Source organism: Homo sapiens, chromosome 14 (genome assembly GCF_000001405.40).
Source record: "Homo sapiens chromosome 14, GRCh38.p14 Primary Assembly".
NCBI classification, from domain to species: Eukaryota; Metazoa; Chordata; class Mammalia; order Primates; family Hominidae; genus Homo; species Homo sapiens.
In genome coordinates, this window is record NC_000014.9 from 37,109,225 (window position 1) to 37,129,794 (window position 20,570).

A 20,570-nucleotide genomic window follows, 5' to 3' on the forward strand; every position below is an offset into this window, starting at 1 on the left:
AAACAAGGATGGAGATTACGATGGTGTGCGTGATTCTACCTTGCTTTGGAAAGTTGCGTGAAGGGATCATCATAACAACTAACCCTGCTTCATTTAAGCAATGAATCTCGGGCCAAATAGAGAAAAAGAAAGAATCAAGGAAGGAAAGGAAGAAAAGAAAAAAGGAGGGAAGGAAGGAAAGGAAAGGAAAGAAAACCTTTTTGGTATATAAAAACATAAAAATGCCAGATTTGTAGCATTTATGTAATTTCTTTTTTCAGTGAAATTTGTTTTGTTAGTCATGAGAATCTGAAATACAAAGCCAAGTTATATAAATACAAATTTGGCTTTCTAAAAAATCTTTTTTATCTTTACCTGTCACAGAGAGTGGTTGCGAAAGTATTAATGAATGATGTTGTGCAGTCAGGAGACCTATGTGCTAGCTTTAGCTCTACTTCTAATTAACTGCCCATGCACAATCTAGTCGCCTAATTTTTATAGGCCTGGACTTTGTCATGATTCCTAAGGCGTCTCGGAATAAGAAATAATGAGAAGATTATATCTTTGGTCCTTTAAAACTTTTTTTTTACATTGCAAAACTGCCATACATTGACCAATTCTTTTCTATAGATAACCTGAGGTCTTTATAAAGTAAGATTTAAAAAGGGGAAATATTTAATGAGTAATATTTTCCAGTTATGTTTCCCACAAAGATGAGAAAATTATTAACATTGCATGTCACAACTAAATTGCAGCTTAAATGTACATAATGAATGTAAACTATTACAATGTTATTAAAATAGTTTATGGTTACTCTTTATAACATCATAGTATTCCAAGAACCAGAGCTTCTGACTTTAAGTTGACCTGTGCTTTCCATAAAGAACAGTTTCATACTTGTGAAAAAAATGTATAATTGCTGTAAAACAATAGTTTGTGAACACTACTTCAGACTTTCTAATCATGCTCGAGGGAACACAAGAGCTCATTTCCTCTGAACTTCTACTACTTATGTTTTATGTTAAGAGGTTGCATTGGTTTGCAGAGGCATTAGTTAGCCAGAAAACTAGTCCCTTGAGCACTTGCTTCATTATTAAATGTAAAATAAGCCACTAAATAGCAGGATGAAGGCAACTTTCACATTTACCAAAATCACCTAATAGGCTTATGGAGAACAGGTGAGTATCATTCCATTCTAGAGTACTAAGTACATCCACTTGAAATATAGAAAACACAGCCTCTTCCAAGCATGAAGGAATCTTTGTATTCTTTGATTTCTCAGAAGCAAAAATTTAGCAAGTACAGACACAAGTTATAATAAAGATACAATGAAGGCACTGCCTGCTTGGATTGAAGAGCACAGGAGAGAGAGCAATTAGGTCATTTCTAACTCATTTTTCTCCAGGTCACCCAGTCCTTGCAGTAAGCCAGGGTCAACTCCACCTAGACAACCTCCCCAGCACTATAACTTGGTTTCATAAGGGACCACCATATTGCGCTCACTATTTTCAGTTAAATTCATGGCAATGAAACTCTTTCACTCCCAGACAACTGTTTATCAATGACTGATAACATAATATTCACGACAGAGGAATAGCCTGCTTGAACCAGCACTTTTCTTACCTGTTACTTGGTTTTGAAGAGACTATAAACTATTGGAAGAACTTGTCTGGTTTCCTATTTTATGCCAAACCTTATTCTATCGCTCTAAAAAAGAGGAGGAAAAAAATACTCATTTTTTGAACAGCAACAAAAAAAAAATCACAGATATCATAATGCTATTGAGCAAGTTAATGCAAAATACAGTGGAATAATACCTAGCCCAGGAATGAGAAGACATGAATTCTGCTTTTGAAACCTTTGAAAAATTATGCCTTCTCTCAATGCCTCAATGTTTTCTTATAAAGTAAGAAAGGTTTCTAAATTAAAGGTTTGAAGGTTTCTAAACTTTTGTTAGAATGAGAATCCTTTTTTTAACCAAATTTACCAATGAATTCAACCTGTTAAACTGATAAAATGACACTGCTGTGGACAAAAAGGCAGCAAGAAACCCACACTGTCACCAACCGTCTTCTGTCTTCTCCCCTCGCCCCCATGCAGACTGCAAACCACTAAGCTTTGGCATCTCTAAGATCACTTCGGTGATTATGGATGGATGACAAGGAGAATAAATAAATCAGATGTTAGTTTTTAAATACTGATACTGAGCTGTCTGAGGCTCAGGAAAAGAGTTTAACAGAAAAATAAAGGGGGAAGGAATTGATGGTCCTCTCTCAGTGGTTCTACATTCTGGCTACTGGGGCCTTGTTTTAGAGAACTCCGTTTATTTTATTATCATTCACTTCTGGTTTGAAAAGCCAAAGAGTCAAATAATAGAATGAATTAAAAAGAATATGTTTGTTGTAATAAATTTCATATTTCTCATCTATACCAGTTCACTCTCCTCTAAGGAGCACCAAAATATGCTTAAGGTAGAGATTGCTACCATATATTTACTCTGGTTCATCATAATTCTATGTCAAACATCCCTTAGAGAAATAACTAATTATAATCTTATTCAAAGATGGAATCCAACCTAAAACAAAATTAAGTCTGCTATTATGAGGTAGTATGAGACAATACCAAGTTGAATTTGTAGACAGCCTACTATTCAGAATTTATGAAAGACTTTTCTAATGGAAAACTAGTATAATCAACAAGCTGGAGTTTAAAACAAACTTGAGGACAAATCGTGAAATGGAAAAATTAACTGTTCATTCAATAAATTGTTTTGCACCAATAATGATTCTGGCAATACTGTAGGTACTAGAGGTATAGCTGTGAACAAAACAGACAAAAATCCTTGCCTTCATGAAGCTTATATTCTCATTTTCTTTTTATTTTATTCCTCCCTCTCTCCTTCCTTCCTTTCTTCTTTCCTTCCTTCATTATTTTCTCTTCTATATTCACCTTATTCTAGAAAGGATTAAAGGTGATAGGGCAATACATTCCATAGAATAAAACATTTAACCTATAGTTAACAGGCCCCCTTGCCGCCGCCGCCAAAATACAACAGGCCCCTTTGTAGGACACGGACCACTGGAGAACACTAGCTATTTACATTGAACATTCTCATTGTCAATACTCTAGTGTAAAAGAAGGGAGAAGAGGCAATAAGCACAAAAGAGTAAGAATAAAGAGGGAGAAATAAGAGAAAATGGGAGATGAAGTAACAAAAATCAGAAATTTTAAGTAGAGTGCTTTGGCACAGACCACTAATTGTCCTCCAATATTCATTCTCCTGTTCCTTCCTTGTAATAATAGAATATTTCCCATTACTTCTTACTTTTAGCTGGACACATAATTGCCTATCCCCAAACTATACTTCGCAGAGTCCTTTGCAGCTAGGTGTGACCATATAACTAAGTTCCAGCCAATGACATATGAAAGAAAGGAAGTGATGTAAACAATTTCAGGCCACATTTGTATTAAGGAAGTGGCTTTCCCTCCGTTCTTATGACTATCCACCATCAATTGAGGCTAGGACAAGAACAGAGTTGTGGTAATCCACCTTTACTATTAGATGGGAGTCATATTTTGGGGAAAGAAGGGAAAAACAGAAGTAACATGAATTCCTTCACCTTATGGAATGAAAACTCCTCTATGCCCTCTTTCTTTTCTGAGTCACTGTATTTTAGGGTGTCTTTGATACAGCAACTTAGATTATACCCTAATTAACATAAGCTTTTTCTACTTTGTTAATGACTAAAAAATGGAAACAAAAAAAAAATCGGAATAGATGCAAAGAAACGACACTCATTAAGTGCCTCTGCCTCTATTACAAGAGTTAGAATCTTCAGGGAGTCTTAACTCTAGCTCGGTCAAGTCACACTAAGAGAGCTTCGTAAAATGATTCTGAGAGTTTCCATAGACACCTCAGGTAGGTCAGATTTCAACAGTCCAAAAAAATTTCAGCAGGATGCTGAAATCATTCACCACAGTCACATTCTACCTATGGCTGGCTATCTGCTAGCTTCTTATTACACAGAACTTAAAAAAACACCTTTTTTCCTATCATACAAACATCTCTACCTTGCTATTTTGCTTAGCAGGATGGATTTGGCATGGAATTGATTAAATAGGAAATATTTCTAGCCTCTTCACTCTTTAGCTGCATTCCTCATGACAATAAAATAAAGAGTGATACAGTAGATTACAAGATTGTGTACACAAACTGGACAAATACAGACCTTGGATACACATCGTGGGAGTAGATACTAAACAATTATATCATTGAGAATGCTTTCTTTCCCCAGAGTCTTTTCTCCAGTATTTTTAGAAAATACCATATACAATTATTGTAACTCATGCTTTGAAATAATAATGTTAGACCGGGAGTGTTGGCTCACACCAGTAATCCCAGCACTTCAGGAGGCTAAAGCAGGCAGATCACCTGAGGTCAGGAGTTCGAGACCAGCCTGGCCAAGATGGTAAAACCCTGTCTCCACTAAAAACACAAAAATTAGCTGGGTGTGGTGGCATGTGCCTGTACTCCCAGCTACCCAAGAGGCTGAGGCTGGAGAATCACTTGAACCCGGGAGGTGGAGCATGCAGTGAGCCAAGATCGCAACACTGTACTCCAGTCTGGGCAACAGAGCGAGACTCTGTCTCAAAAAAAAAAAAAAAAAGAAATAATAATGTTAAACTTCTCCCTCATTTGTTATAACTTATTCTTCCTGTATATTTGCTACTAAAATATTGAAAGCTATTTTTGAGTCTACCATTAAAAAGTATTTACAAATATTTGAATAATCTGGGTAATTAAGCATTAAAAGTAGTAGAGAAAAATAGGTTAAACATGGTGATGCAACAAAAATGTATAGCATGTTCTGACATTCCATTTTTCTTCAGATTTTTATTTGTTTGCTTTTCCTCCTACGCACCATAATAAAACATAGAGTTACAATCAACGTGTGATGACAAATGGTCTCCGGGTTGGGTTTGCATTCCTCTAAATATATTGGCATTTGTAAGCTGGAAAAGATAGATGTAATCAACCACCCTCAGACAAAAGTAGGATGACTATTTCTGGCAAAATGTTCAAACCACATTAAGCCCTAATTTGAAATGATGTTTGAAAGAAAGCAATGCAACTAGGACCAATTTATTTGTACAGCAACTAAAAACTGAACTTACTAGACATATTTAAGAGATGGAAGCAATTAAATGTGTTTGTTTTCTAAATAGACCAAGTATATTAGAAACTTTGAAGGCAAGAAAAATCCCACTTTACTAGACTCAATCATTTGTTGCTGCGCAATACTTAAATCATTTTCTTTAGTAGTCCTCTGAGGTTGTTCTAGTAAAACACGCTATTTTTAAGAGGGAATAAACAATCTGTTTAATTTCACATTATCAATATATCATAGAATTTCTTTCTAGTTAGCAGCATGTAGAAGTATGAAATCGCTGTGAGAAAGTGTGAGACAACCTTTTTTTTGCTGGTATGTGTGATCCTTACAGAAAACCAATTCCTGTTGTTTACACATTCAAATGTTTGTCAGACTCTTCTGCAAACCAGTGGTGCAGAGAGTCATTTTTATGGCGGGGGGGGAATTGGTGGTTTTCATTGGTGGTTTTCATTCTTGTTTTTCAAAAAGATGAATTTCGATGTTTTCTCCTTGTATTCAAATCAAGTTTCTATGGTAGTCTGAAAAAATTCAGGTAAAATTATGTCATCTGAATCCTCTTATGTACATACCTAGACACAGATTTAGCATTTCAGCTAAAGATAACAATTGTTCTGGCTCCAAGGAGACTGAAATAGTGACATTTGTACCCAAAATAATATCTGGCTCCAAATGTGGGATGGCCAGATAACAGAATATCATCAAGTCTTTGGCTAATATATGTACCATGACCACTCAATCAAAGAGAGTTTCTTTGAGACCAAGTGTCCTAGACGTTCTGGCATCTTTTGCCCGGGGATATATCCTACAAGCCTGGCTAAGAAAGGTGGCTCTTTACACACCATAATGAAGACCAGGCCCAGGAGGGCAGCACCGCCAAGGTCCCACTGAAGTTTGCCAAGAATTGATGCTACGGAGTATTGAAAACAGGACAGGGCCCTGTCAGTTCTCCTGCTCTGCATCACTAGTTTGCAGAAGAGTCTGACAAATATCTGAATGAATAAACAACAACAGGAATTTGTTTTCTGTGAGGATCACACATACCAGCAAAAATACATGAGGACGGCCCCTGCATGGAAGACACAGGAAAGACTGAGAGGAAAAAAGAGAAAACTCTAATTTTTTAATCTCATTCCAGCATAACTCCAAAGAACTCAAGGGCTCTCCTCAGGGTTTATTTACTTTATGCAAAAACACTAACAATTCAATATTGCTAACAGTGGTGGTTCCTCCTAGAAATCCATCTAGGGCTAGGAGATGTATTTGACTTTGATATGTGCCTATTCAAGCTGCTGAGAAAAGAATTAAGGAAATGTTCCTTAAAGAGAGGAGCAGCCTGAAACATATTCACAAGGCTAAAATACTGGTGAGACAACTAAAGCATGACCAAAACATCAACTTCAATGAATTGCTTCATTTCAAACTAGTATAAGATTTCATATATAGCAAGTGTAAAATATTTTAATTGAGCTAAAAACCAATGAATGTTTCAGATCCCATAACTGTAATATTCAGCACTTTGGCTAAAGTATTTAAAGATTAAACGTTTCTTCTACTTAAAAACTACATTAAGAATGAAAATACAAATAATACATTAAATAAAAATACATTTTAAAGAAATTCACATTATATTTATCTATGTAAAACTGAACTTGTCCCAGGGAACAATCCTGCTTTAACAGAAAGGATAAGAAAACTCAAAGAGTTTTGAAGTATTGGCTTTAAAAAAAAACAACTAAAACTTACTAAGCAAGAATAGTCATAAAATTTAAATCACTCAGCAAGCACTAAGCGAATACATGTTATATGTAAGACACTGTAAACTTCAATTTTCATAACACACAGCACATGTACAATACCCTCTCTCAAGATGAGCTTGGTACCACATATACAGACCTATGTCCCACTCCGGGTAGATAATCTTTCACTGGCCTCTTCTCAGTTGGAATTTACAATTTACTACCTTACAATGCATATACATTCACTTTGTGTGCATCTTACAACACTTAAGATACAATGGTACTACAAGGCATATTTGACTTTCTCTAACTTCAGCATTACATTTGAAGTCCTTGGACATGTTATTGAAAGCCCTTACTAGGCAGACCTTTCCAAACTAACCAGAACATATCCTTTTAATAAAAAATAATAGCTATGTTCTCATTTTCAAAGTTTGTGATTAAAACCTACAGTGAAAGAATCCAGCTGAGAAAAAATTTCCTTTTGGTTCAAAAAAAAATAATGTCATTAAATTTATCGGAACAATATGAAATGAAGATGTTGTTGTTGGGTCCTTCACTTATAATAGAAACCAAATATGCTTGCTGGCTTAGTTAAATCCACAAATTATTTGTCACATAACATTTCAACAACAATTTTGAACATATAAAAGTTAAGGTACCAAAGAAAATCCCACTGTCAATGATAATCAAACTAAACAACTACACATCTTTTTGTATGTGATTTAATTGCCCAGATTTCAAAGAAAGCCACATAATCTTATGAGTTAAAATATTTCTTTTTCTTATTTTAAGCATGGCAGGACAGCTTTTCAAAACATAACTTGTAGTATTGGGTGCCATTCCAACTACCAATTCAGATCCTTTGACATGGCGGCTCAGTTTGCTAATCTTGGCTTATACTTTTAAAAACAACTTACTACAACTTTACGTGGTAGCATTCTGTTTTTCTTATAGTTTATAGCTGAAAAATGTACTCTTTAATTACTCTTGATATTGACAAAGGGCACTGTGACTCATTTTATTTTTCAACATAGAGCTAAAAGGTACATGAATCATCCTTTTGAAATTTGGAATGCAGGCAAAACAGTGGCTGTGAATGGAGTCTAAGTAAATAATTCCTCTCATCATCTAAACTTTTTTTCAGGGCATCAGCACTAGAAAAAGTCATTTTCTTAGCAGTAGCTTATTGCCCTAAAAAAGAAATGGTGAAAAATTTATTCCCAGAGCACAGTTTATTTACCATAAGATGTGGCTCAGTAAAGTGTTTTGTATGTTGGAAATGTAAAGTTAATTCTTCCTGTCAAAGCCTTAGGAAAACAGGCACATCGTAAACATACTTTTGCATTTTAGAGCTGGCTCTCTTTATTTTAGAAGAGAGTTTTTTCTATACATCCCTTAAGTCGGCATTCTTAGATGTGTAGAAATGAGAATAAGTAATTTAATAGTATCCTGGTATGACAGATCTAATATAACATATACTAGAGTACGTTTTTCACTCTCCACATGGGAATACAAAGAGGGAGAGGGGGGAAGTGTAGAAAATAAAATCCCAAGAGATGAAACTGATACCTCTCTATGAAGAACTTTTAAGCTCCTTCAAATAGTGGGGTTAAGTCACTGCCAAGGCTCAATACTGCCATCTCCTTCCTAAATGCAGAAATACATAAGCAATCTGAGGATAAAAATACAGGATCACAAAGCAAAAAGTAGTTACTGGATACATAAAATTCACCAAACATAGTTTTTTTTTGTTTGTTTTTTTTTTTTGTCATTTTGGTAGGAAGTCCAATCACTAAAGATAGTTTAAAAACTTTATTAAATTAACAAATATTTTAAGACTACAAAATGATTCTTTTTTGTATGGATTCCCCTCCTCCCAAAAAGCTTAATTTATAGTTTAAATGATAATAGCCCTCCCCAGAAACTAAACCACCTTTGCAAAACTAATGAAAGGCCACCAAGTTAGGAGGATGGTAGGAACCCGAATTATACTAACGTACAGATGTAATGGATTACCAGCCATTATTCCAGAGGTCACAATATTTGCAGCTTCTCCAACCACTCCTGCAGATAACACCACTATTGTTAGAACCTAAGAATGGACTTTTGAGATGTCTTTTCAGGTTTTTGCATTTCTGACAACTGATGGCTCCACCCAGATCCACCAACAAGTCCTGTGGCCCCACCTAGAAGCAGACTCAGCAAACAGGAAGACCATTTTCCACAGCTCTGTGATTGTACCCCCAAACAATCAGCAGCTCCCATTCCCCAGCCACCTGCCTCCTCCCAACTATTTTTGAAAAACTCTAGCCTCCAAATTTTTAGGGAGGCTGATTTGAGTAATAATAAAACTCCGCTCTCCTGTTTAACTGGTTCTGAATATGTAAAGCTCTTTCTCTATTGCAGTTCCCCTGCCTTGATAAATTGGCTTTATCTGGGCAGTGGGTAAGAAGAACCCATTGAGTGGTTACACTATTATTGATAATAGTCCAACTTATTTTTCTTATTTTAAAAGATATTTAAGGATTGAGACAACTACTAAGGAAGTACATAAAACCAACCTTAAATTTAAGCAGAGTAATTCCCTGGACTATCTTTTCTTTAGGGTTTTTATACTTATTCCTTGACTCCCATGGTTTCCTTACCTAGTAATTGATTCCTGAAAATCCACCATTACAATAATTTTTTTTTAATTTAAAGGTTTTTTCAGAGGCATTTGAACCAGAGTGACTCCATCTTGAACACAGGCTGGGTAAAATAAGTCTGACACCTACTGGGCTGCATTCCCAGGAGGTTAGGCATTCTAAGTCACAGGATGAGATACAAGCTTAGCACAAGATACAAGTCACAAAGATCCTGCCGATAAAACAGCATGCAGTTAAGAAGCTGGCCAAATCCAACCAAAACCAAGATGGTGATGGAAGTGACCTCCAGTAATCCTCACTGCTCATTATACACTAATTATAATGCATTGGCTTGCTAAAGGACACTCCCACTGGCGCCATGACAGTTTACAAATGCCATGGCAACATCCAGAAGTTACCCTAGATGGTCGAAAAAGGAGAAGAAGCCTCAGTTCCAGGAACTGCCTGCCCCTTTCACAGAAAACTCATAAATCCACCCCTTGCTTAGCATAGAATCAAGAAATAACTAGGCCAGGCACAGTGGCTCATGCCTGTAATCCCAGCACTTTGGGAAGCTGAGGCAGGTGGATCACTTGAGGTCAGGCATTCGAGACCAGCCTGGCCAACATGGTGAAGCCTCATCCCTACTAAAAATACAAAAATTATCCAGGCGTGGTGGTGTGGTGGCATGGGCCTATAATCCCAGCTACTCAGGAGGCTGAGGCAGGAGAATTGCTTGAACCTGGGAGATGGAGGTTGCAGTAAGCCAAGATAGTGCCACTATACTCCAGCCTAGGCGACAGAGTGAGACACCATAAAAAAAAAGAAAAAAGAAAAAAGAAAAGAAAAGAACTATAAGCATAATCAGTTGAGCAGCCCACGCCGCTGCTCTGCCTATGGAGTAGCCACTATTTATTCCTTTACTTCCTAATAAACTTGCTTTCACTTTATTCTATATTCTATGGATTTGCCCCAAATTCTTTCTTGTGTGAGGTCCAAGAACCGTCTCTTGGGGTCTGGATGGGAACCCCTTTCTGGTAACCATTTCAGCTCTATTAAAATGAAAATAGCTCACAGAGAGGTAAATATGTAATACAGCATCAACTACAAAGATCTTACTGTACACTGTTCTCAGGTAGGGTGGCAGCAAGTTCCTACCTAAAGATAAAGGTGAAAATGATATGATATGATATCTGCCACAATGATACGAGTGGCAGAAGGAGATTCAATGTTCAGACTTTAGAAATAGAAAATAAGATGGAAACATTTCTGTGAATCTATCAAAAGAAGAACATACTTTACATAAATCATAAGAATTATATTAAAATTTCACCACAGAAATAAAATAATCATAATATTTTTATACCTTCTAAATTTAATAATTCAAAACGTCAAGACAGCTTTTTCTTTAAGTAAACTATGGAATGAAATCAGGCTCAGGAGAAGATTTTCCCTTCCTTTAAAAACTGCCAATCTTTATACAAAAGTCACTGGAGCAAATTATCTCCTCACCCACCACCTCCAAGTTTTTAATCAACATGTGTTTTAAACATTTTGGCTTTAGACCTTTTCATAAAAAGCATATATTGTACATGTGTGTAATGTCATTTGAAAGAATACGTCTTACAAAGTTACTATTAATGTGTTGCAAAAAGTAAATATGACATGTTTTTAAATGACCAAAGGGGACTTACTTCATGTTCATCAATACTGCCTTCAGTCCTCCAATAAATCAGTGGTGACTTTAAGTCCTTTCTGCCTTTTATCCAGAGTTAGAAAGAAAGAACACCAAAACAGCTGCCAAACTCCACAATGCAGAGGATGGGAGAGACTACCCATGAAGCATAAGGAGCACCAGATCTGACTGCTTTGCCTTGGGCCCTTGAACCAAAAGACACTGCGCACTACAAGCTGTGGGCCATTCCTAAGCTTAGTTACCGGGCATGTCAGCTCAACTGTGGGGAAAAAGGTGGTGAAATAAAAACATCCAGAGCTGGGGTGTTTTCTCTTGTGCCCTCTTCTTGGTGGTGTTACCATTGGAAAGCTGAGCAATGAGAGAAAAGTATCCAGAAGTTTCTCCATATATAAATCAGTAAAAAGACACATTCTGCTCCTTGAAGAGAGAGAATGTCCTAATTGGTATAAGTACTGCCAGCCACATCCTTCCACTCTTTCCTCTTATAAGGGGAAAATTGAGAGAGCTGTTGTGGATGCTATAAACGTGAGACCACTTGCTAATTGAGGACAACCTGAAGCTAATAAATGGGCTGAGTAAACATTTCTTCGCAAAAAGTATTATGACCAAGGTCTTTTAACCTTAAGTGACCTGAAGAAATGTCCCAAAGGGCAAACTGAAAGTGATCATGTACCCTTTAAAAGTGACTTTCAAACTTTTTCAGAACTTGCGCCAGGCAAAAAGCTTAACAACCACACTTGCTCCTAGACACAGCTCATGAAAATTATTGAAAAGATTAGTCCAGAATTTTCATGCTACCTTATTAGAATGGTTACATCCAGTTATTTGGTCCTTTCTTTTGGCCGATTACATGACAGGGCACGATTTTTCCCCTGAGATAAATTGTGTGAACATGAGTTCAATTAATTTAATACTCCTAATCTCACTGACCTATTGAGTGGAAACAAAATGACATGTCAGTGCGGATAGGGGAGGGAAATGTAAAGAGTGAGGGAGGTACAAAACAAGTTAACATGTGGATACCAGCATATAATTTGTTTTTGTTTTTTATTTTGTTTTAAGTGCAGATTCTGGCCAGGAACGATGGCTCACAACAGTAGTCCCAACACTTTGGGAGGCTGAGGTGGGCAGATCACTTGAGGCCAAGAGTTTGAAACCAGCCTGGCCAACACGGTGAAATCTCATCTCTACTAAAAATACAAAAATTAGCTGGGTGTGGTGGTGGGTGCCTGTAATCCCAGCTACTTGGGAGGCTGAGGCAGGAAAAATTGCTTTATTCTGGGAGGTGGAGGTTGCAGTGAGCCAAGATCGCGCCACTGCACTCCAGCCTGAGCGACGGAACGAGACTCCATCTCAAAAAGAACCAAAAAAAAACAAAGCAAAAAGTGTTGTTTCTATTAAATGCCATGAGTGGGGAATTCACGCCGGAGAAACTCATCCCATCTCATCTTATGCTCCAATCCTTTCTTTCAAGAACCATCTCGTGAGAGTCCTTCATCAAGTGTCCCCTAATGCCCAGAGACAGCAATAAACCCATCTCCCCTGATGATAGTCTCTCTCTATCCTTTTATCAGTTTTATATAACATTTTTATTTCTTGAGGTACTCAACCACCTTATCTCCAGAACCTTTAATATGCTAACATACATTGCTAATCTTTAACAGGAGGATATAGTGTACCTTTTTTCCCAAACTTATTTAACTAGAAACTTTTTTCTAAAGTGTACCTTGCAGGACTAATGTCCTACCAAACACACTTTGGAAAATATGCTTTAGGTTAAGAAGAACTCTTTAACGTTTTTCAGTGCATCTGTTTAATCAGTTATACATCTATCCTACAGTGCTTGTGCAAGTGGATTTTCATGTCTAAATTCTTTACTTGGGGAAACCAACTACCCAAACATAGTCTGGAAAACAGAGAGGAATGTGGCTTAACAGTAGCACATTCCTTCCCTTATTCGTTCAAAAGAAAATAAGGAACACCTACCATGAGTCAGGCTCTATGCTAAGTGCTGGGCATACAAAAATGGCCAGGACTCAATTAATTACTTCTGTCAAAGTGCTCACTGTTTTCTGGAGGATGTAGACAGAATCATACACTGTACACATTGCCACAGCTATGACTCACATGGTAGTGCTGTATACAACCAGAGTAGCTTCACGTGGAAGCTTTGAATGTACACATGTAAAGAAACAATACGATATAGTATGAGTACAACATTTGAACACTACACAAAATTTACACTCCACACAAAAAGAAATTTAACTCCATTTGGATATATCAGGGAATATTCATAAAAGAGGAGCTGTATCCTCCTTCCCTCTTCCATGATCACTAACAGTGGTCCAAATGTTTTATTGACGTTCTTGTCCCCCAATAACTGAGAATTATTTACCAAAATACTAAAAATTAAAGTATCACTCATCTAGAAATCAACCAAAAAATCCTCCTTTTGCAACACAATTTGTATGTTTATAAATATAGGTCTATATAGCTGATAACAATTTGCTACTATATCTTAGGCATCTAAAATCCAATATCAAATAGATACTTGCTTCTCAAAAGCTGAAGTGAAACGTACGCTCTATGAATGCTTAGGACCTGTATTCACAGATAAGCGGAAATTACTTATTAATATTACGAATGAGAAGAATGTTAAAAATGTAAATTGGTTGTTTTCTAAAGCACTTTGGCATCTTCAGCATTTGGAAAAAGAAAATACTTCAAGGTTATTGCTTAATGCTGTAAGTGATTTCTTGGACTACTTTAACCTACAGGGTTGGGGAGATGGAGGTAGAAAGGAGTGACATTTAGATGGAGCCAGGCTTGGTGTACCTGCTGTGGACTAATTATTCTTCCGATTCCTCGATTTCAGTCACCAACAACTAAATGAAAACAAGCACCTATAACTGACAAGAAAAGAACGTTCAGATCTACAGAAAGAGAAGAATGCAATTTTCCTTCTGAGGAAGCAATTTTTAAAACTAGAAAGCAACAACCAATGTGTCACCCATGCTGTTTGCCCTGCCAGATACTCCCTCTGACTAAGCCTTCACATTTTCCCATTTAATATAATGATACATTGTTGTAAACAGTAAAAAACTAGAAAGAACAATCATATAGCCAACAAGGTTTTAATTAAATAAATTATGGCATACCTTCATTAAAAAATGGTATTTATGCTCAAAATATAAAATGACAGAAATATTCTTAGAATATAATATAAAAATATGAAATTGTATAACATAAATCATGACAATCCTATAAATGGGATTTTAAACACAGAAACTAAAGACTATAAGGAGGGGCAGGCATGGTGGCTCACACCTGTAGCCCTAGCACTTTGGGAGGCTAAGGCAAGAAGATCATTTGAGCTCCCTAGGAGTCTGAGACCAGCCTGGGTGACATAGTGAGAACTCGTCTCCATAAATAAAAATTAAATAAGTAAATACTATAAGGAAATATATCAACATAATTGTGATTATCACTGGGGATATAGTTATTAGTGATTTTAACTTCTTTGCTACGCTTTTCTCCATTTTTCAAATTAAGTTGGATTGGTTTCATTTTCTTATCATTATCTTTTTTTTTTTTTGAGACGGAGTCTCACTCTGTCGCCCAGGCTGGAGTGCAGTGGTGCGATCTCAGCTCACTACAAGCTCCGCCTCCTGGGTTCACACCAAGACAGGCTCTCCCTGTGTTGCTCAGGGTAGTCTTGAACTCCGTGTTCAAGTGACCCTCCTGTCTCCACCTCTCAAAGTGCTGGGATTACAGCACTTTGAGAGCCACACTGAGCACTTTGAGAGCCACATTGGTTTTAAAATAAAGAAAAAATAATATCCTCTTTAAGATACTTCCTTCTTATTTTATTTTTCCTTCAGAGGGCACTGTTTTAGGGCCTTAAATAGTAAACAGAATATTCTATTTCATATCATCCTTTCCCGAGAATATTTGTCAGCAGTTCTGTAAACAGAAGATCTAGTTTAAACACTGCAGACCTGAGATGCATACTTAGGGTTACATCACAGCATATACAGCACCAACTAGATTTTCCCAATATATTATTGTTACCTATAGCAAAGATAAAAATCTATTCCTAAGCATGTGGCTGTGCTATAATGATTCCTCTCTTAAGCTCGATGGTTTGATTCCCAAGGCTGAAAATATCAGTAACCTCTCTTGGTTACAGATATCACCAAATGCAAACATAAAAATAAACTGTGAATGGGATCTGATGTGGTTTGGATCTGTGTCCCCGCCCAAATTTCATGTAAATTGTAATCCCAGTGTTGGTGGGGCCTGGTGGGAGGTGACTGGATCTTAAAGGCAGATTTCCCACTTGGTGCTGTTCTCATGACAGAGTTCTCACAAGATCTGGTTATTTAAAAGTGTGTGGCGCCGCCTACCTCTCTCTCTTGCTCCTGCTCCAGCAATGTGAAGATGCCTGCTCCTGCTTTGCCCTCTGCCATGAGCCAAAGCTCCCTGAGGCCTCCCCAGAAGTAGATGCTGCCATGCTTCCTGTACAGCCTATTAAACCATAAGCCAATTAAACCTCTTTTGTTTAAAAATTACCCAGTCTCAAATATTTCTTCATAGCAATGTGAGGACAGACTAACAATACAGGATCTGAATGGATGCCCAACAGAAAGAGCCCTGCACTAGGTAGAAGTCAGGCCACCAAGGCTCTAGTCCTGGTTATGCTACTAAAATAGCTGTGTGACCTCGGTAAATTACAACTCAGAGTGTCGGTTTCCACATATGTAAAATTAGGGAATTCAAGGATCTACTTGCCTAAGGACTCTTCTGATAAAAGAACAAATGGCATCTGCAAATGAGTAAATATTATGGAGTCACATATAGAATGGAGTGATACTTCGGTTAACATAAACAGCTATGAAAATATTCTCCAAGGGTCCAGAGTCTACAATCCACAAGCCCCTCGTCTTCCATTAGCTAAATGTATGAGTTTCTGAAAATTATCTCATATCTTTGGACCACTGTAAAACAAGGCAGGTGGAATAGATGATCTCCAAGTCCCTTCTAATGCTAGATTTTATTATTTGGGATTCAAAGAAGAGTCTAGATAGGACAAAGAGAAACCAAGTTTAAAAAATGACTAAAGTAAACATTAAATTCTCTGACTTCCCTTGTTTTTATACAGGATTAGATTTTATTTAATTGTGCTATTTGGTAGAGGGTTAAGTGAGAGTAACAACTATATTCTAGTAGATGGTAGGATATCAATTATTTCTTTTAAAAAAGCATTATGATTAGGTTAAAATAAGGCAGACTCCAAGTCCATAGACCTATTAAACACCATTATGTATTTATTGTCTAGCACAGCGGGAAGAAGTCAACTGGGATACACAGCATTTCAGTTACTTTTAAGGCTGTCCAAATGCTGTGGCAAGATTTCATTGTACTGAGTAAGTGTCAAAAGGAATCCCAGGTACGTAGCAATTCAAAAGACACATTCCTTGCTCATATAAATTAGAAACAATTATGCTTTCCACCTGTAGTTTGAGTACTGAATGATATAATAATTTTCAAAGATATGGGTAATATATAAAGATGTGGTCCCAAAGTCTTTCATCACACCTCTTTTTATCCTACACACAATTCAGGTTAAAAATACTGCCTACATTTTTATTTTGATCATAACTCAGGACACCGCTGCACTGTGGCCTGGCAATAGCTTTCCTTCCTGCACATGTGCTATGTGTATACCACACTCAGGAGTTGAACAGCTTTGTCATAAACAAGGACTGATTTGAGCATTAGTTGTGCTGACTATCACAGACCTGGCAATTCACTGAGATTAGATCAACAGTACAACATTACAAAACCATCATCAAGGCTTGACAATATTGGTGATTTACCAAAGCCACCAAAATGGTACTTGGCCAATATCAATGCCCTCACTATAATATACCTAATTTTTTTTTTGAGGTGTGAGTCAACATGCCCAGCCAATATACCTAAATTAAGGGCTTCTGTGGAATTTATTTAATTATACATATAATATTTATCCTTTAATTTCTATTTGTGATACTAGATAAACATTGCAACTGTATATTTTACATTACAAGTTTTTGAGTCATTGAAAGACATTTGTTACAAGGAGTTATGTATAGGTATGTAATTACGTATTTTTGCATAATTATATAATACATGCAATGTACCATAAAAATAGGAGGCTACTGGCACATTGATTTCCACAAGTTACTATGTTCAATTATAGCAAAAAGCCTACACGAACATGTCAACCTGATTCTGCTTAACAAACATTTACAAAGTAGCTGCTAGGTACAGGGCACAGGAAAACATTCAGGGCATTCTTTAATCACTTCCTTGCCCTCAAGGGGCTTACAAGGACATTTTAGTTTCCCTTGCACTTAAAACACTTAGGTCAATGGTTCATTTTTTATAGAGTTCTTGGTAAGAGGTTTTGCTGGAAGTTAAGGAACTATATTTTTGCTACCAGCCTGTGTTTGGAAAGAGGACTATGGAACTGATCTTATTTGAAAGAAAATAGCCAGGATCTACTTGAAAATACTGAAATCTATGTTTCTACAACATAAATATTACGTGGCTATTGCTTGCCCATCCCCAGCCTGGTTCTGAGAGCACTGGGTTCACCTAGGGAAAAGGAAAAAGAAGAAAGTGATAGAGATAGAATTTGTTATACGTAAACAGCGCTAGGTTAGACTGGACAAAGAATAACAACCAGGCCCCAAGCATGTCACAAACATATCTTATTAACACTTCAAAGAGGGCATTTTTATCCTCATTTAACAAATGAGGCTCAAAGGGCTTAGGAAATTTGCCTGAGGTCACACAGCCATGTTGCAGCAGAACCAGGATTCTAATCAAGGGATGTCTCACTCCAAACACCACAAATTTCCACTCATCAGCTGCCTCTACGAAAAGATGATAGATACCTATGCAGGTACCTACCATTTGATCAAAACAAATATCTTTGACTTTAACTTTAATGCTGCACAAAGCGTTATGAGCACCTTTTCAGTTTTTTCTTTTTAAACTTCCTCTATAGTTAGATCCTTATCTTTGACTTCTAGTGCTTTTTTTTCTTTAGTCAATGGCGAAAGCTCGAAAGAGTGTGTAACACTTACTAACTGTTGGCACAAAGTTGAAATAGGTTTCCAATTGTTCTTTCTTACTTGTATAAGCATAAAATCCAATCCCTTCATTGATCGAAAGCAAAGTCAGGTTTCAAGAGCACAAAGACCAGGTCTCTAACTGACTGCTACATTCAATTGTCTTGTCTCAAATAACATAAACTAACATATGGAAACCTCAAAACTAAAGATCTGGTCAGGAAGCCAGAAGTGGACTTCAACCAACATAATTTTTCATTCCAGTTTTAGATGGTGGTGGAATTAGTTTGGTAAGATGGAATATACTGACACTCAGAGGCTATATCAAATTGTCATAAAGAGAAGAGACTATTAGAAGCATAAGGACTAGGAGAAGCCAAATATCTTTCAGTCAAGAAGCAATGAGAATGTGATTCTCAGATAAGAAACCTAAGAATTCAACAAGCAAAAACTCATACAAGAAAAGTTATGTTACAATCTGTGTTTAGACAACTGGAAGGTACTTTTGTTTATTGTGTGGTAAATACAACCATCCCTATAAAAACAGAAATGCCTGTTCATCTCCTTACTTCCCAGTCAATAGGCATTTGTCTTTAAGAAATGCCCAAACCAATGGATTAAAAAATATTATGTTGTTTAAGCCGAGGGATGCCTAATATTTCTGGCAACCACCACAAGTTAGGAAAGAGACATAGAATAAATTCTCCCTTAGTGCCTCCAGAAGGAACCAGCCCTGCCAACACATTGATTTTGGACTTCTAGCCTCCAGAGCTGTAAGACAATATATTTTCTGTTGTTTGAAGCCAGAAAGATATCATGTTATTTGGCAAGAATTTTATTTCTGAGAGTGAAGCATAAGCTACATTAAATTGTGTTATTTCGATGTGTTAATACAAAGAGATTTTTCAACTCTAAAGTAAATACAAGTCAATATGACCCATTATTCTGCATGTTAAGCATTACTTTCTGTCTCTCTCTCTCTCTCTCTGTGTGTGTGTGTGTGTGTGTGTGTGTGTGTGTGTGTGTGCATTTTGCTTTGTTTTATTTTTGAGACACAGTCTGACTCTGTTGCCCAGGCTAGAATGTAGTGGTGTGATCATGGCTCACTGCAGCCTTGACCTCCACCACCAGGCTCAGGTGATCCTCCCACCTCAGTCTCCAGGTAGCTGGGACTACAAGCACGCACCATTACGCTCAGCTAATTTTTTGGTATTTTCTGTGGAGATGGGGTTTCGCCATGTTGCCCAGGCTGGTCTCAAATTGCTGAGCTCAAGCGATCTGCTACCTCAGCCTCCCAAAATGCTGGGATTACATGTGTGAGCCACTGCACCTGGCCCTGCATTATGATTTCTTGGTTAGCACAAATTCATAATCTAAATGATGCTGTTCAATACAGTAAAAGCATTAGCCACCTGTGGCTACTTAAATTAATTAAAACTAAATAAAATTAAAAATTCATTTCCTCAATTCCTCAGCCACATTTCAAGCACTCAACAGTCGCATGTGGCCAGTAGCTACTGTATCGAACAGGACTGATGCAGGACGTTTCCATCAATGCAGAAAGGTGTGCCGGAAAGTGCTGGGTTAGAGGGATGAGATACGAGAACTATCACTTCCGTTTAAAGAAACTCCTGGCTTCTCATCCAACACTGACTCATAACACTCACATAATAACAGCTATACTCCACAGTCTCATAAATATCACTTTCTTTGATTTACAACCTAGAAAAACCAAACAATTGGCACTTTTTTATGCACAGTGGCAGGTCAGCATCTAGTTTGGAGACGATATTGTCCTTTCTGTTGGCAACTGTTATCTTGTGCAGTTCCATTTGTCTGGATTAGAACACAGTTGTGGTGAGAAAATGGAAAACATGATGTTCCCCCTTCAGCAATGATCCCGATTTACCCAGTGTTCCTTTTGGGATTGTTCCTATGTGACCATGAAGCGCATTTCATACCAACCGTAATCCTACACTTGCAAACAACCATCATAACTCAAGATAATAAAAGGATTGATCCTAGATAGAGGAAAGCTGTGAACTGCCGCAGGTCCAATATTCTCTCATTGAGATATATTGTGTTAAAACATTGTGTTAAATAACCATTAAGTAACAGTTATTAAAAAAAAAAAAAAAGTCCACCCAGGAGGCAGACAATCAATATTCCATTGGGTGCCTATAGCCCTTAAAATAGGTTTAGAGTCTTTTTTAACTATATTATAGGGCTTCAAAGTTCTTATG

At 37.1% G+C, this 20,570-nt stretch overlaps 1 protein-coding gene across 3 annotated transcripts in view, besides 1 other annotated feature; it reads right to left on the reverse strand.

Annotated features, from left to right (window-relative positions):
- The window catches only part of SLC25A21 (solute carrier family 25 member 21), a 494,686-nt gene that overhangs the window by 431,304 nt on the left and 42,812 nt on the right, over window positions 1–20,570 (reverse strand). The window lies entirely within an intron of this gene.
- Window positions 13,100–13,394: a silencer, noted in NCBI's record as "tiled region #11704; HepG2 Repressive DNase matched - State 21:Repr". NCBI's record gives its function as "represses a minimal TATA promoter and a strong SV40 promoter by Sharpr-MPRA in HepG2 cells {active_cell/tissue: HepG2}" and the evidence as "EXISTENCE:reporter gene assay evidence [ECO:0000049][PMID:27701403]".